General features: G+C 40.9%; 1 long non-coding RNA gene across 1 annotated transcript; it reads right to left on the bottom strand.

The window, feature by feature from the left end:
- Window positions 1-1967: 1967 nt before the first annotated feature.
- Window positions 1968-13526, bottom strand: LOC105372675 (uncharacterized). The gene is made up of 4 exons (XR_936882.4): window positions 13332-13526; window positions 9186-9264; window positions 2421-2460; window positions 1968-2225 (listed from the first exon to the last, which is right to left on the bottom strand). It is a non-coding gene; the product is annotated as an uncharacterized LOC105372675 (long non-coding RNA).

The following is a 15008-nucleotide window of genomic DNA, read 5'->3' as shown; positions in this document are numbered from 1 at the left end:
TATCGTAATCAATGCATGTTTAATCCCTTCCTGCTTTTCTAGAGCTTCCATAAGTTACTTACTTCACGTGAAGCATTTCTGCTGCCTTTCACATCTGGCTTTTCACGCTCACTTGCTTGTCTTTCCTTGTGGGATTCTTTGAGCCGTGATTCCATTCCGGGAAGTTCTGTGTTGGAGACTGTAATTACTGTCTTATACCTGGCATGCCCCTGTGTGTACTTCACAAGATTGGCATGCAGCAGAGGCCACCATCTTATAAATGTCACGAATGTTAGTTTCTTGAAAGTTGGTTGACAGAATAGTAGAGGATAGAACAACTGGGATTGGTCTCTTGTGCCTTCATTTATTGTCCTAGTTATAAATTTCCTGGGGCCAAACATGGTGGCTCACGTCTGGAATCTCAGCGCTTTGGGAGGCCAAGGTGGGAGGGATTGCTTAGGCCAAGAGTTCAAGACCAACATCGGCAACATAGGGAAACACCATCTCTACCAAAAATACATATATTTTTAAAATTAGCAAGCATGGTGGCACGCCCCTATAGTCCCAGCTACTCCGTTGGCTGAGGCAGGAGAATTGCTTGAACTCAGGTGTTCGAGGCTGCAGTGAGCTATGATCATGCCACTGCACTGCAGCCTGGGCAACAGAGCAAGACTTTGTCTTTAAAAAATTAAAATAAAATATCCTTGTTCATTTTACCTGATTAGAGAAAAAGAATTGGTCTATTTTTTTTTTTCTGAGACAGAGTCTCGCACTGTTGCCGGAGCTGGAGTGCAGTGGCGCAGTCTCAGCTCACTGCAACCTCCACCTTCCAGGTTGAAGCAATTCTCCTGCCTCAGCCTCCCAGGTAGCTGGGATTACAGGCATGTGCCACCACGCCCAGCTAATTTTTGTATTTTTAGTAGAGACGGGGTTTCACTATGTTGGTCAGGCTGGTGTCCAACGCCTGACCTCGTGATCTACCCACCTTGGCCTCCCAAAATGCTGGGATTACAGGCGTGAGCCACCGCGCCTGGCCAAGAATTGGTCTATTTCTAGCCCTTGGGCTATACCCATTAAGAGAGCAGAGGCTCATAGAAGGATGCTGTAGTTGGGAATATGGTTGCAGCAACTTCAAAGAGTTGCCAACTTTTTACTTTGTTAAGGAAGTGAATGAAATCAAAGAAGCCTAAATCTAAAATTAACAACATAAAAGCAAAGACTTTATACCATAAAAGGGCAAGAATAGAATAAAAAACAATCATTTCCAATAAAGTTGTATGGATAAACTTTTCCAACTTTTAAAATCCCAGGCCACTGAAGCAGGAGAAAGCCCAGTGACCCTTTCCAGTGGGCCTGACTTTGGGATTCACTCCAGGACACCATCTACTTTTCCAGAGTGTGGAGTTTTAAATGGGGCCAAAGAACATATGGATTCCATTAGAATTCTTTCCTCCTGCAATCAAAGAAGGGAGAACCCCTTCTGGTTTCCTGCAGAAGACAGAACATGTTCTCACATCTGAGAACCATGTCCTCCTGTGCCAGGAAGTTTTGGCCAGAAGCGAAGCAGAGCCTTATATTACCTGCATATATGTGCCAGGCACCCTGCTAAGTAGGAATACACGCAACAACATTTCAAGACTGGTAATATTCTCTTTTTTTTCTTTCACCAATAAGAAAGCCAAGACTGGGAAAGGTAATGCCACCTGCTCTTAGTTATAGAGGCTGATACAATCTGGAGCTATGATTTGAATCCAAGATTCAATTGCTTAAGTCCACTCTCCAAACCATTGCTTTTCTCCTTAAAGATTTAAATAAGGATTTTGACAACCAGGTGACATACACATTTCATTTTAGAGAAAAATTATTCTATAAAAGATGCTAGTTTTATTTTGGACCCTAGACTTGAGACTTCAGAAAATATAAACGGCCCTTTTACCTGAGTCATGGTAATAGTCTTATTGAATAACACAATATCTGAGTCACTTGGATTCATGTAGGAAAAAAACACATGGGAAGTTTTATTTCTGATTTACTGGTTTTCAAATCAAGTCACAAGTTTGGGCATGAGGATAATATTATTTTTCTTGGCGAGATGAACTGATTATGAGTGTAATATAAGTAAAAGTGATGGGGTTGACACTCCCAGGGACATTTTCAAAGGTGAAACTATGGACTCATTCATCACAAGTCTTCAGAACTTGTAAAGAAAACTTCTTCCTGTGGCATTCCATAAAATGACGATTTATCTGAAAGATAAAAGATAATTTCCCTTTGCTATCATCTCTTCAGATACTTTTCAACATCTGAGTTTTATTTCTCTACATCCATATGCAGCCTTGGCCTTGTGTAGGTGGAGGTCTCATTGAGTTCCATGAATACTGAGACTCCTCTTCCCCTAAAAATACCTCCTGATCCACTATTGATGCCTCAACTTCTCTTACCAGGAATTTCACAGAGACAAGGCTTCATTTGAGGATACGCCTGTGAGAGAAACAGATTTTGAATGAGATCAATAAGGAATTTCAGATTATTTTATGAGAGGTGGTTTTGAGAAAAGAAAAGGTAAGTGAGCAAGTATGCATCAGAGGTGAGGATAATATGTTAATAGACGACATTTACAGTGTATTTACTACCAGCCAGGCACTGTTCTACATGCTTTATATGAATTAACTCATTTAACCATTTTCATAGCCTTAGGATGTAGGTATTATCAAAATCTATATATTTTATAGATGAAGAAACAGACACAGAGATACTGAGCAATTTGCCCAAGGTTGTGTAGCCAGAAAGCTGGAAAGTTAGATTTAAACTCAGGTGGTCTGGATTAAATCAACCCCTTTTAACCACTGCACAAACCAGGCCAAGGAGATGAGGCCTAAGAAGTGCCGGATAGAGGCAAGACTATCACAAACGGAATGTCGGCGCATCAAAAACAACTTCTGACTCTGAACTCTATGGGGGACATCCTGCCAGCTCTGTGTTAAGATTTGAAAAGAAAATGGACCATTCTCTTATTAATTTAAAAAAAAAAAATCTGAACATTTAGCGAGTCTTTGTTAAAAGTCTGTTTACTGTCAGGGCTCAGCAAGTCCCGGAAATGAGCAGCTCAGGACCCTCTGAAGGTTTAAGAGAAGATGCCCTGAAACATCTGGGAAGAATACCGCCTCTTTTATTTATCATGTGGTTGCGATGGCCGCATTTCTTGTTTATGAAGAACAGATGTCTTTCGTGGTTATGCAGCAATGGAATTTGTTGATGGATATTGGGGAGTCCGTAGAATTGATAAGAAGGCTGGACAACCAGGCCTGAATAAATAAGCAGGCATCTAGGGAAATTAGGCAGCCAAACTGTGGCCAAAATTATACCAAAGGGAAAGTCTGGTTTGATTCATATTCATGGACACTATTACAAGCAATAACAGACTGCTGGCATTGGACGCTGAATTCTGTGGCTGCTGCCACCAAATGTATCTGAAGTCTGCAATGTTTCTTTGCACACTGAACACCTCCAGACAGAGCATGGGATTGGCTGAGGTTAGTCACATGATCTCTAGCCACTGGAGAGCTGAGAGCCCGGAGTTTTGAGCCCCTTCAGCTTCTGGAATTAGTGCAAATGTCTGTTTTAGGATTTCTCTAAATACTGTAGGTTCAAATGTTGGTCAGCGAAGGACTCAAGATAAATGTGTATTTTGGAGTCGTATTTGTCATCTAAATGTAAGGAAAACTCAATAATCAACAAAGGTATGGAAAGACACTATACTCAAGATGGAAAATGGGGGATTATGGTAAGAGCTGAATAAAGACAGGATTTAAATTCTCTGCTCTCAGAATTTTCTTATTTGTAAAATGGTGGTCAACCTGGTATATATGTCATGACTTGTGAAGATCTAAGGAGATGGTGAGAGCTTGGAAATTCACAACTTTAAAAAATTAAACCTAAACATTAGAAATACTATTATATATGAATTCCCCATTTCCACTAGAAGCAGAACTAACATGAATGAAGTTATGCAGCAGGGAAAGTGCCTTAAATTAGGATGGACTGAGAGAGATGTAGTGTTGAATTCTGAAGGACACCCAAATAATTGCTCTCCCTGTGAAACTGCATAGAAAATTCCACTCACATTCTTCAAACATCCTTGAAAATGTAACACCTTAGGCACTTTTTTCTCTAAAGCTAACCAGGTGGCTGTGACCCTTGGAAGTTGCTTCTAGGTGCATGCTTTTCAAGATATTATATAAATATTCCCTTCAGTAATCTTTTAGGCTGGGCGCGGTGGCTCACGCCTGTAATCCCAGCACTTTGGGAAGCCGAGGCGGGAGGACTGCATGAGGCAAGGAGTTCAAGAACAGCCTGGCCAACATAGTGAAACCCTGTCTCTACTAAAAATATAAAAATTAGCTAGGCTTTGTGGCGCACGCCTGTAATCCCAGCTACTCGGGAGGCTGAGGCACGAGAATCACTTGAACCCGGGAGGCAGAGGCTGCAGTGAGCCGAGATTGCACCACTGCACTCCAGCCTCGGCAACAGAGTGAGACTCTGTCACACACACACACACACACACACACACACACAAAAGTAATCTTCTCTTCTTCTCTCATGATGGAGGGTTCTAAAGACATATACATATAATTATGGTATAAAATTATACATATAAAAATGCCACCTGGCCAAAATTTCCACCACAAATTAACCTTCTCAAAACATCTACCATAAACATTTCTTATGAAACTAAGGAATTCCCTTTTCTCTGGCTTCAGTTAATTTAATTTTTAGTAATTTACCATTAGTAATTTACTGATATTTATGTGCCAATATTTATTGATGCTGTATATTCATGCTTTATATTCATGATCTTATTTAATTCCTGAAGCAATTCTATGAAGTAAGTACAGCCATTTCACAGAAGCCAAAATTGTGTCTAAGAAAGATGGGCTCACTTGCCCAGTCTCATACCTTAAAAGCAGGTTTCTCTCATTCTGGTCTTAACCACTACCTATGGAAAATGTAAGTAGCAGAACTAGAGAGCAAGTGGAATTCTTGCAAAAAAATCAGGAGGGTTTATGGAGTACACCATTAAGGGAGGCTGTGGTCTTTGGGAGTACTGAGTTTATTATTCACTCTGACAGATTCCCTCACCTACCAGGGCTCAAATGCTAAGGCCCTCAGGTAGCTACCATCGTCTTTTCTCCACAGTCGAGTATGTTCTGGAAATGGAAAGCTGCCGAATGTCCACGCCACTGGTTATCAACGCATTCCGGCTTGGGCATTATTTAAATGTCCTGTGTGGGTGTTTACCTTCCATCAAGTTGTGTTCGGGAGGAGAACTCTGTAGGGAGTGAGTGTCCTTTGGTAATTAGCACCCCGCCCTGCCCCCGGTTATTACTGAGATTCTTCTCCAAGGTCCGGAAAGCTGTCTCTATCTGTGCCACTGTGGACCCTGGGACTTCAGGCAGGACTGGGGGCCCAAGCTCCAGAACAGGGCAGGAAATTCCCTCTTGAGCCTCCATCACCCTACAAAGGCCCCTCTGCTCAAGGGAGCTCCCACCTACCTCTCCCTTTAGCCCTTGACTGCCTGGAGAGCTGGGTAAGAGCACACAAAGAGGGATGGCGAGCTCTCTGACCACCATGCACAGAGGCCCCCCCTGCACGTGGACCCACATCTCGAGGCACGATGGGTGGAATAAGTGTGGTTGACATCACTGGGTTGTGAAGTCCAGGCTCTAGACAGGCATCACCATATTGGCCAGTGATTCCCAAACCTGGCTTCCCCTCGATTTCCCAGGTAACTTTAACCAAATTCTGGCTCATAGAGACTCCAGACAGTCTCATGGAGTAGGTCTCAGGTAGGGGCTAGAAATCAGCATTAATAAAACAAAACACTGCCCAGGTGATTCTAGGGGCTCAGCTTTAGTTTAGAACCATTGACATCCGGCATTTGATTTGAAGAGAGATTTGGGGAAGATTTTCCTCTTAAAGGGTGGCGAGCAGCGAAAGTAAAAAGATCAAGCATCTGTTCCCTAAACAACACTTTTCACCAGAGTCAGGTCCCAGATTGTGAGGATGCCACCTTCTTGCCACAGGATGCATAGACCTTTTTGGGTCCTGTATCAGACATTGAGAAGGGAGCCAATGAAGCGAGCCAGGTTTGGCCTTTTGAAGGCAAGGTGACATATCTCTCATCCTAGAAACTGAAAATTGATTGCACGGGTACCTGTGTTGGATTATTTTAATAATGTCTGCAGAATTAGAAGGCTGTCTCCCCGCATAACACTTTTGCTTACTCATTGGTCAGCCCGAGCATGAGATACAGTCGGTTGTTCTTCAATTACAAACAAGAAAAGTGGGGATTAGGTGGGGAGGAGAGGCAGCCAGTCTGACATGGGCTGCTGCTATTGGCAACATGGACTAATATTAGTACAGCAGGGTGGGGATGCTGCTAGGAGATTGAGAAATTCCTGTTTCATATTTTCCTGGAAACATACGTTCCACTATCTTTTGGACTGAGAAGCACAGGTTATTACAAAAACAGGTTGGAAATGGCTTCACAGACATTCTGAATCATATGTGCCATTAAATCACAAGTGCGGGGGGCATGCATGTGTGGAAGATGTGTCTGTGGGAAGAGGTGCATGTGGGGGAATAGATATGGGTGTGTAATGTGGGTGCATGTTCGTGTTGGTGAGGAAAGTTGCATGGAGGTGTGCTTGCATGTGGGGCTGTGCATGTGAGGGCATGCAGCACGGGTGCCTGGGTGCACGTGTGGACGTATGGGTGTGTGCGCATGTGGGTGGGTCTGGGTGTGCCTATGCCTGAGGAAGGATTGAGTGTGCCTTGTGGTTGTTACAGATTTCCCACATAAAGGGAGCACACTGAGAATCTAACATGCTAGTGGAAATTTGAGTATCTGAGACTTCAGTATGCAAAATAGAATTTAATCTTGCTATATGAGACTTCTGGAGATCCTAATCATGTTAACCTTCCATCAAGAATGAGGAGCACAATTCTTGCCAGTTTATATCCCTTCACACAATCACAGCCCTGTTGAAAGACCCATTTTATCTCAAGTTTCTCTACGGAAGAGCTTTGCTGATGACAAATTCTTTTCCAGTAGGTTAGGGAGAAATCCAAGTCCCTGAGAAATCTTGGGGCACTGAGTTGGAATTCTCCTGGAGTCGCCATCTAAGTGGCCTTAAATTAACTAGGGCTTGTGGTCAGGCATTTTTCACTTCTGAGGAAAGTGTCTGATTCAATCCAAGCTTTTTAGCGTTGATGCAGTCATTCAATTTTCCTGTCTGGGAACAAAAGGTAATTGCTGGTGACTGATATTGGTCTTAAAGACAGCCTAGGTAAATGGGAAAATTTTGGGGTACTTTTTTCCAACTCTTTTCCTGGGTTGGTGTCTAATTTTTTTAAAGGGGCACCAAGCAATCCTCAAAACAAATCTTGCTTTAGTTTCCTTTTACAATATTGGATAAAGCACCCTTAGAGCGTGCTGTTAAGAGGATGCAACTGGAAACAAAACAAGAGGCCTGATGCTGTTCCCAAACTGCTGGATTAAGTGAAAAAGCAGACGAGAGTCCCAGAAAGGCTAACAGATGTTCTTCTGGCTGAAAGAAAGATCAAGTGGATCTTCAGTGGGAGGGAGCAGCACCAGAAAGGTTCAATAAATGGCTAAACATAAAAAGTTATGCTTCCTGTAATTCCTGTAATTTTCTTAAAAGGACTAAAGCAAAATTCACAGCATTGTAAGCTGGAATCTATAACGTAAGTAGAAGTAAAGGATATAATAACAAGAACACACAAAAAAATGGGATGCATAACTAGAATTGTACTGTTGAAGGCCATGACATCTTTTGACTCTAAATGGACTTTGATACATTCTGAATGCAAATTATTTGCCCTAGACAACCAAAAATAAACAAATAAGAGTTATAGCAAAGAAGACAATCAAATAAATAAAATGGAATGCTTAAAGATTTGATTAACCCCCTCCAAAAAGGCAAGAATAGAGCAATATTCTAACAGCAGTAGTACCAACAACAACAGAAGGAATAAATGGAAAACAACCCAGTTGATAATTGTAGAACACTACACTCAACAACTGCAAAATACATTTTCATTTTCAGTGCTCAGTGGCATATTCCCCCAGATAAACTAAGTGCTGGATCGAAAAAATAAGTCTCAATATATTTTAAAAGATTAAAAGCTTTAAGAGTATGTTCTCCAGTTACACTGGAATTAAATTGGAAATCAATAACCATACAAGATAAGATATCCATAACAGTGTCCAGATATTGGGAGCTTAAGAGCAAAACAGAATGAACAAGTGAAGTAATAAATATCATAGCAAAAATCTATGAAATAGTAAACAAAGAGAAATTTCATAAAGTCGGATCTTTGAAAAGATGACTATAATAGATAAACCCAAGGTAAGACTAATGAAAGAAAAAAAGAAAAGAGAAACACATACAAACAAAAACAATATCAGGAATAACAGAGGGGATATAATTACAGCTTTAACAGACATTAAAAAGATAATAAAGACATATGATAAGCAATTATATGTCAATGATTCAATGTCTTAGAAAAAAATGGACAGATTTCCTGAAAAATCACAACATAAAAACTGACTCAATAAATAGAACTCTGCACCTAATAGAATGGCTAAAATTTAGAAGATCACAAGGAGTGTTGGGGAGGATGTAGAGGGATCAGAACTTTCCTATGCTGCTGGTAGGAATGTGAAAAGGTACAATCACATTGGGAAACAGCTCAAGAGTTTCTTAAACAGCTAAACACCCAACCACAAGAGGAGCCAGCTATTCTACTCCAAGGTATTTACCCAAGGGTGGCACAACAGGAATAGGGGTTACACAGCCAGATGAAGCCAGTCATAGAAAATAGTTATTCTTTTTCATATCCAAGTCATGGGCGCGCATTTTAAGCCCTACAAGTTATGAATATTCTTTGTGGAAAGGCAGGGATACAGGCAGTCTCAATGTGAACAAGGGTGATGGCTCAGGAGTCAGGGATCCCCGGGGGTTCAAATCACAACTGAGTGCTGTGTGACTTGGTGTCCTCCTGAGTTTCATGATCTCGGCTGCATCTTTTTTAGAAGTTTGGTGGGAGATTTAAGTGAGACGAGATGTGACTGGCATGTGGACTCTCAATCTACATTAACTAGTCATTTCATTTTTCAGTACCTCAGAGTTGTTGGACACTTTGCTAATGACTCAGGCAGGCCACGTGTATTGAACATGCGTTCATCTCCAATAGAGATACCTAAAGGGAAAGACAAAGTAACAGATAGCTTGTGGTTGATTTGTGAAGGAAGCATATGTGATAAACACAAATAATACCAGATTAAAGCACGTGACATCAGATGGGCCATATATTATCAATTGAATAATAATAAGAGCTAATTTAAATAAGAGCCTACCCTCTGCCAGCACTGTGCTAAGTAACTGACTTATATTATCCTACTTAATCCTTACAATAACGCTACGAGGTAAATATTGCTTCCCCCAATTTAAAAAAGAATCTTCAGAGAGGCTCACACAGCTGAAAAGTGAAAAAATGAAGGTGGCAACCTAATCTGGAGCCCACGTGTGTAGCCACCACATTATGCCTCCAAACCAACAATTAAATATATTTTTGAAAAGCATACTGGATAGAACATCTATGTAAAATGAACAAAAATAAAGAAATAAAATACTGTTGATTTCAGGACTGGGATCTCTAGCTAGGTCCATGCATAATTATGCTCCATTAAATTGCTTGAGGCCAGAAAGATTATACCCTTTCCTAGTCCCGGATGATGTTTCTTATCATTAAAAATAAATAAAATCCAAATAGCAATATATAGGTTAGAATGACTATATCAGTCAGTATTCTTCAAATCGCAAGAGGAGAAACTCAGATCAAAGTGGAATAAGCAACATGAGGAATTTGTTGGCTCATGTACAGGAAATCCAGAGATGGATGAATGGCCCTGAACGATGGCATGAGGATCTGACATTCCCTTCTCTTCCCTGTCCTCCATCTCCTCTTTTAGTTTTGCTCTCCTTTGTGCTGGCTTTGCCGTGAGGCCAGCCTTCTCTACTTGGTGGCCCCAGCAAATCAAGGGCCTCAAGTAACCTTCCCAGGGGAAAGAGTCTTCTGTTTCCTAGTTGCTCCAGCAAAAGTCTCCACATTCACTCTGATCTGACTAACCTGGAACATGAGTTCATCCCAGGTGGATGCACTCAACTTTAGCCAAGAGGAAGGAATGTGTGGATTGGTCCTAAATCATGGGCTTTGCCTTGTAGGGTGAGATTAGCCTATGTGAACCACTCAGCAATCAGAAGACAAGATCTTGGTTGCTGGGCAGGTAAAACCCAAGGAAGTTCATCACACAGACTCCAGCTCTGTTTCATTTTAAACACATGATTTGAGAGCAAGTAGATTCCTCAGGGACAAGAACAGAGGCTAGCCATGTGCTTCTAACCTTGCAGGTGCTCAAGGGTGTCTGTGCTGTGTTTGGCTGATCAAATGGCCTTCAAATAACTTCTAAATGTAATCTGCAGTGTTTGAGAAATTGACCAACATTTACATTCTTCTTATGCTTAGCCCATAGAACCTTGTTGCACCTGTGAACTGGTGGAAATAAAGAAGGTAATCCTAATGACGTTATTCAGTTTATTTCTTATTTTAAGAGCTTCATGTCTATTTAGACTCTTAACTTTCACACCTGTGCCACTAAACAAAATGATCTTGAAAAAATAAAACACCTCTGCAATATGAAAGCATGCCAACCAGGAGCCATTTGATAATTAGATTTAGAGATGGGAGTAGGGAATATGACCTCTTTGTCTTTAGAATAAATATTAAATATATTTATGCATCTGATCAGCATCCTGTGTGCTATTCTCTTCGTGGTTCTCTTTACACCTTGAGCTCAAGATGCTGAGAGAGGCCCCCTGCCTCTTTTCCTCCAGGCGTTAGTGAAGCTGACCATTTCCCGCAATTTAAGTCTGAGCTCAAATGTTAGTTTTATGCCTATCTGAAATTATACTATTTCTTTGTTTACATGTGTGTGATCTGTCTTCCCCAGTAGAATTTGAGCTCCAAAAAGCTAGGTGCCTGGTCTGCTTTGCCCATCACTGTATCCCTAGTGCTAGGAATGGTGCCTGGCACATAGTAGATGCTCAATAACCGTCTCTGGACTGATTCCACTTCCAAAGAATTCTAACTGGACAGAGTATAAAACAAATCAATAAATCACTGGAAATTCACATTACATTTTTTTCAATGGAAAGTCCCATTATTCTAAAGGAATCTGTGAATATTCACATAAACAAGTAAGATCCCAAATTATTCCATGCAAGCTGCAATAGGACTGAACTCTGAGAAACTTCCTCCTCAATACTGTAAACACCACTGTTTCATATGGCACAAAAATCAGAAGGAGGTTACATCGCTGTTCTCTGTTGGTGAAAAATCAAGTAATAAAATCTGGATTGTGAGGGGTGTTTGGCAATTGCTACTGCACAAAGACTGCGTAAGTACTCTGCTAACTGATTTTTTTTTTCTCAAAGATGAAAGGACACTTCCAGACTTTTCTTGGCTTGTAATTGTTTTGTTTGCCACTTTATGTTCATAAACAAAAAACCGGATATCCCTATTCACTGCTGGAGTTTACTCATCTAACCACAGAGGTACTTTCCACCAGGTGCCTTTAGGTGCCAATTTCCTATCAAGGTGTATGCTTGTTGGTTCATATTAAAGCTCTGGCAAAAATGCATCCTAAGCTCAATCATGCTGCAGAATGCTGTCCAAGTCAACACCAATAAGATGGTATGTGGAGGCAGGATTTTGACATATAGGAGCAGAGCAAACTATACTTTGGGTCCAAATTAATCAACAATAATAATCCTGTCATGGAATTTCCCCAATTTTCACTCTGATGGTATTAGCCAAGTCATATCATGCAAGAAAGGATAAAATAGGTATCTATGTGATGATGTAATTTTAAAACTGAATTATGAAACATGTATGGCACCATTGGAACATTTAAAAAAATCAATGGATTTTTTCATTAGCTGGCTTCACTTGACTCTTAAATCAGTAGTTATACTACATCTATATCTTCCCAAATATTTTACACATATTAATTCATTTAATAAATTCTCTGTTTTCATGTGGAGATAACCTGTTAAAGAGTGCACATCTGTCTCACACAGATCTCTATTTTACTAGATATTTTGAAAATAGGAAAAAAACAAAAGAAAATGTTTCTTTATATATAAGATTTGCAACTAGACACACCTTTTTACCAGGAGCTAAGTTTAACAGAAAGATAGACTCAATTGAACAAGTACAGTTACAACAAGTAAGGCACTTAATCGCTGTTATTTTTGCAATAGTATTATTTGACAAACATTTCTTGGGTATACCTAAACTGATCTGGGCATAGCTATAGGTGCTAGGAATACAGCAGAGGGTAAGACAGACAGTCTTCCTGTCCTCAGGAAGCTGGCATCTTGAAGCAAGCTAGACTTTAAGTTACAGGGCAGTAACTATATAATATTATTATAATTATAATACTATAATAATATGTGAGAGACACTGTTATGATTTCTATTTTATAGATGAGGACAAGGAAACAATGGTAATATGTAACAGGGCAGATTCAACCCAGGTCTGGCTTAAACTCTGTAAGAAAGTGAGGTTTTGTCATTATAAAATGGAAAATAACAAAACCTACCTTACAGCGCTATTGTGTGGGTGGAGACAATACAATGTCTGCCACACACATAGTAGTTCCTTAATAAGTTATAATTTGTAGTAATGGTGGAATGATTGAGTGTGCATACTGTATTTCTCATCTCCTTTGCAATAAAGCAGCTCTTTCAGTGATAAATCTGTTGAAAAGTTCCCCCCACCCCGCCCCACCCGGAACTGCATTTTAAAGCACTTAAGGTCCATTTTTCCATACCTGTGATATAACTTTAATTTACCAACATGACTGAATTCTACTCAGAAATTATCAAGCAAGTACAGAGGCCAAACAGATTTTAGTGAAGACAATCGTGTTTTGTCTAATATTTTTAGTATTTATCTTGACCTTCCTGAGACACAGGTATAGTAAACTCCAATTTTACCATTAAGGAAACTAGACTCAGAGAAGTTAAATAACTTGCCCAAGATCACACAGCTAATGAGTGGTGGAGCCATGGTTTCAGCCCAAGCTTTTGAGACCAAAACTATCGTTTTTGTCATACAGAACTATTTTCTATATGACCCACACATAAAGCCCTCCAGGATTCCCAACGATTTCCTCAGAAAACAAAGAATACATTGATACTAACCTTTCTCCTTTTCACTTGGGAATGAGGAAATAATCAATAATCAATTTCCCATTATTTGCTTATTGGGTGCTGGCCAACATAAACAGCACTGTGTCATCTGCTTTAGGAGAAACAAAAACAAAGACAAAAAAACAATGCCTATAATTTCAAGAAGGTTTGTCTAATTGGGCAAAGAACTCCAAGACACATGTAATAAAGATTATGACCTTAATTATTTGACAGCCCAGTTCCTGTAGTTCTTAATGACATTAACAGTGAGCACATGTGCTAGGGACTTTCAGTGCTTTGTCATCCTCAGAAAAACCCTATGGAGTGGGAACTACTACCATGATCACCATTTTTTTTTTTTTTTTGAGATGGAGTCTCACTCTGTCGCCCAGACTAGAGTGCAGTGGCGCTATCTCGGCTCACTGCAACCTCGACCTCCCAGGTTCAAGTGATTCTCCTGCTTCAGCCTACCAAGCAGCTGGAATTACAGGCACCCACCACCATGCCCAGCTAATTTTTGTATTTTTAGTAGAGACAGGAGTTTGCCATGTTGGCCAGGTTGGTCTCGAACTCTGACCTCAGGTGATCCGCCTGCCTTGGCCTCCCAAAGTGCTGGGATTACAGGTGTGAGCCACTGCACCCGTCCTGATCGCCACTTTTGAGAAGAGGAAACTAAGGCTGAGAGAGAGACAAGTAAATTGTCCCTGGTTTTTCTAGCTGCTCAGTGGCTGAGCTGGGATTTGAATTCACCAGCATTTCATTGCTAATCTTCCTTTGGCTTTATTCAAGTATACAGTTTCTTGAGTCAGAGACATCTAAATTGCCTCCCTTCTATGGACTTTGAAAAAACCAAGGCATGCAATACAGTAATGCTACAAGGTCATATTTGCTGGGCACTTTACTGTGGTAGGAATTTTATTTGCAGTGTTCTCACAGGAGCCCCGTGAAATTGGCTATTGTTACTACTCCTGTTTCCATGAAGCTTGAACTTTACCGTGAGGTTGGAACCAACACTGTCCATTTAACAAATGCGGCAAGTAAGTCCTCCAGGTTTCCGCAACGGAAAGTGGATCTAGTACTCACGCCCCAGTTTAGGCAAAGTTTGTTGTGTTTGTTTTTTTGAGATGGAGTCTTGCTCTGTCGCCCAGGATGGAGTGCAGTGGCATGATCTCAGCTCACTGCAACCTTCACCTCCCGGGTTCAAGCAATCCTCCTGCCTTAGCCTCCCGTGTAGCTGGGATTACAGGCATCTGCCACAACATCTGGCTAATTTTTGTATTTTTTAGTAGAGATAGGGTTTCACCATGTTGGCCAGGCTGGTCTTGAACTCCTGACCTCAAGTGATCTGCCTGCCTCACCCTTCCAAATTGCTGGAATTACAGGCGTGAGCCATCATGCCAGGCCTAAGCAGTTTTAAGCACAAAACTATATTACTATTGCATATACTTGAAAGTGTTTTGTATTTTCCAGTGCAGAGAAACCAGCCCTTGAACTCCTACAGGCTCCTCCACCCCACCCTCATTATACATGTGTACACAGGTGTGTGAACTCACACACACATGTTGTCATGGGTGGTCCCTTGGTATGAGGGCTGAAGTCTAATTATCCATTCCAGGACTTGGTAAGATTTCCCAGAGCAAAACAGAGGGCCTGAGCCTGTCTCAGTAATGATGGCAGGCATTTATGAGG

The sequence above is a fragment of the Homo sapiens genome, chromosome 20, assembly GCF_000001405.40.
Source record: "Homo sapiens chromosome 20, GRCh38.p14 Primary Assembly".
Taxonomy (NCBI): domain Eukaryota; kingdom Metazoa; phylum Chordata; class Mammalia; order Primates; family Hominidae; genus Homo; species Homo sapiens.
The sequence above is the reverse complement of the archived record's forward strand: the minus strand, read 5'-3'. Positions and strand labels throughout refer to the sequence as shown.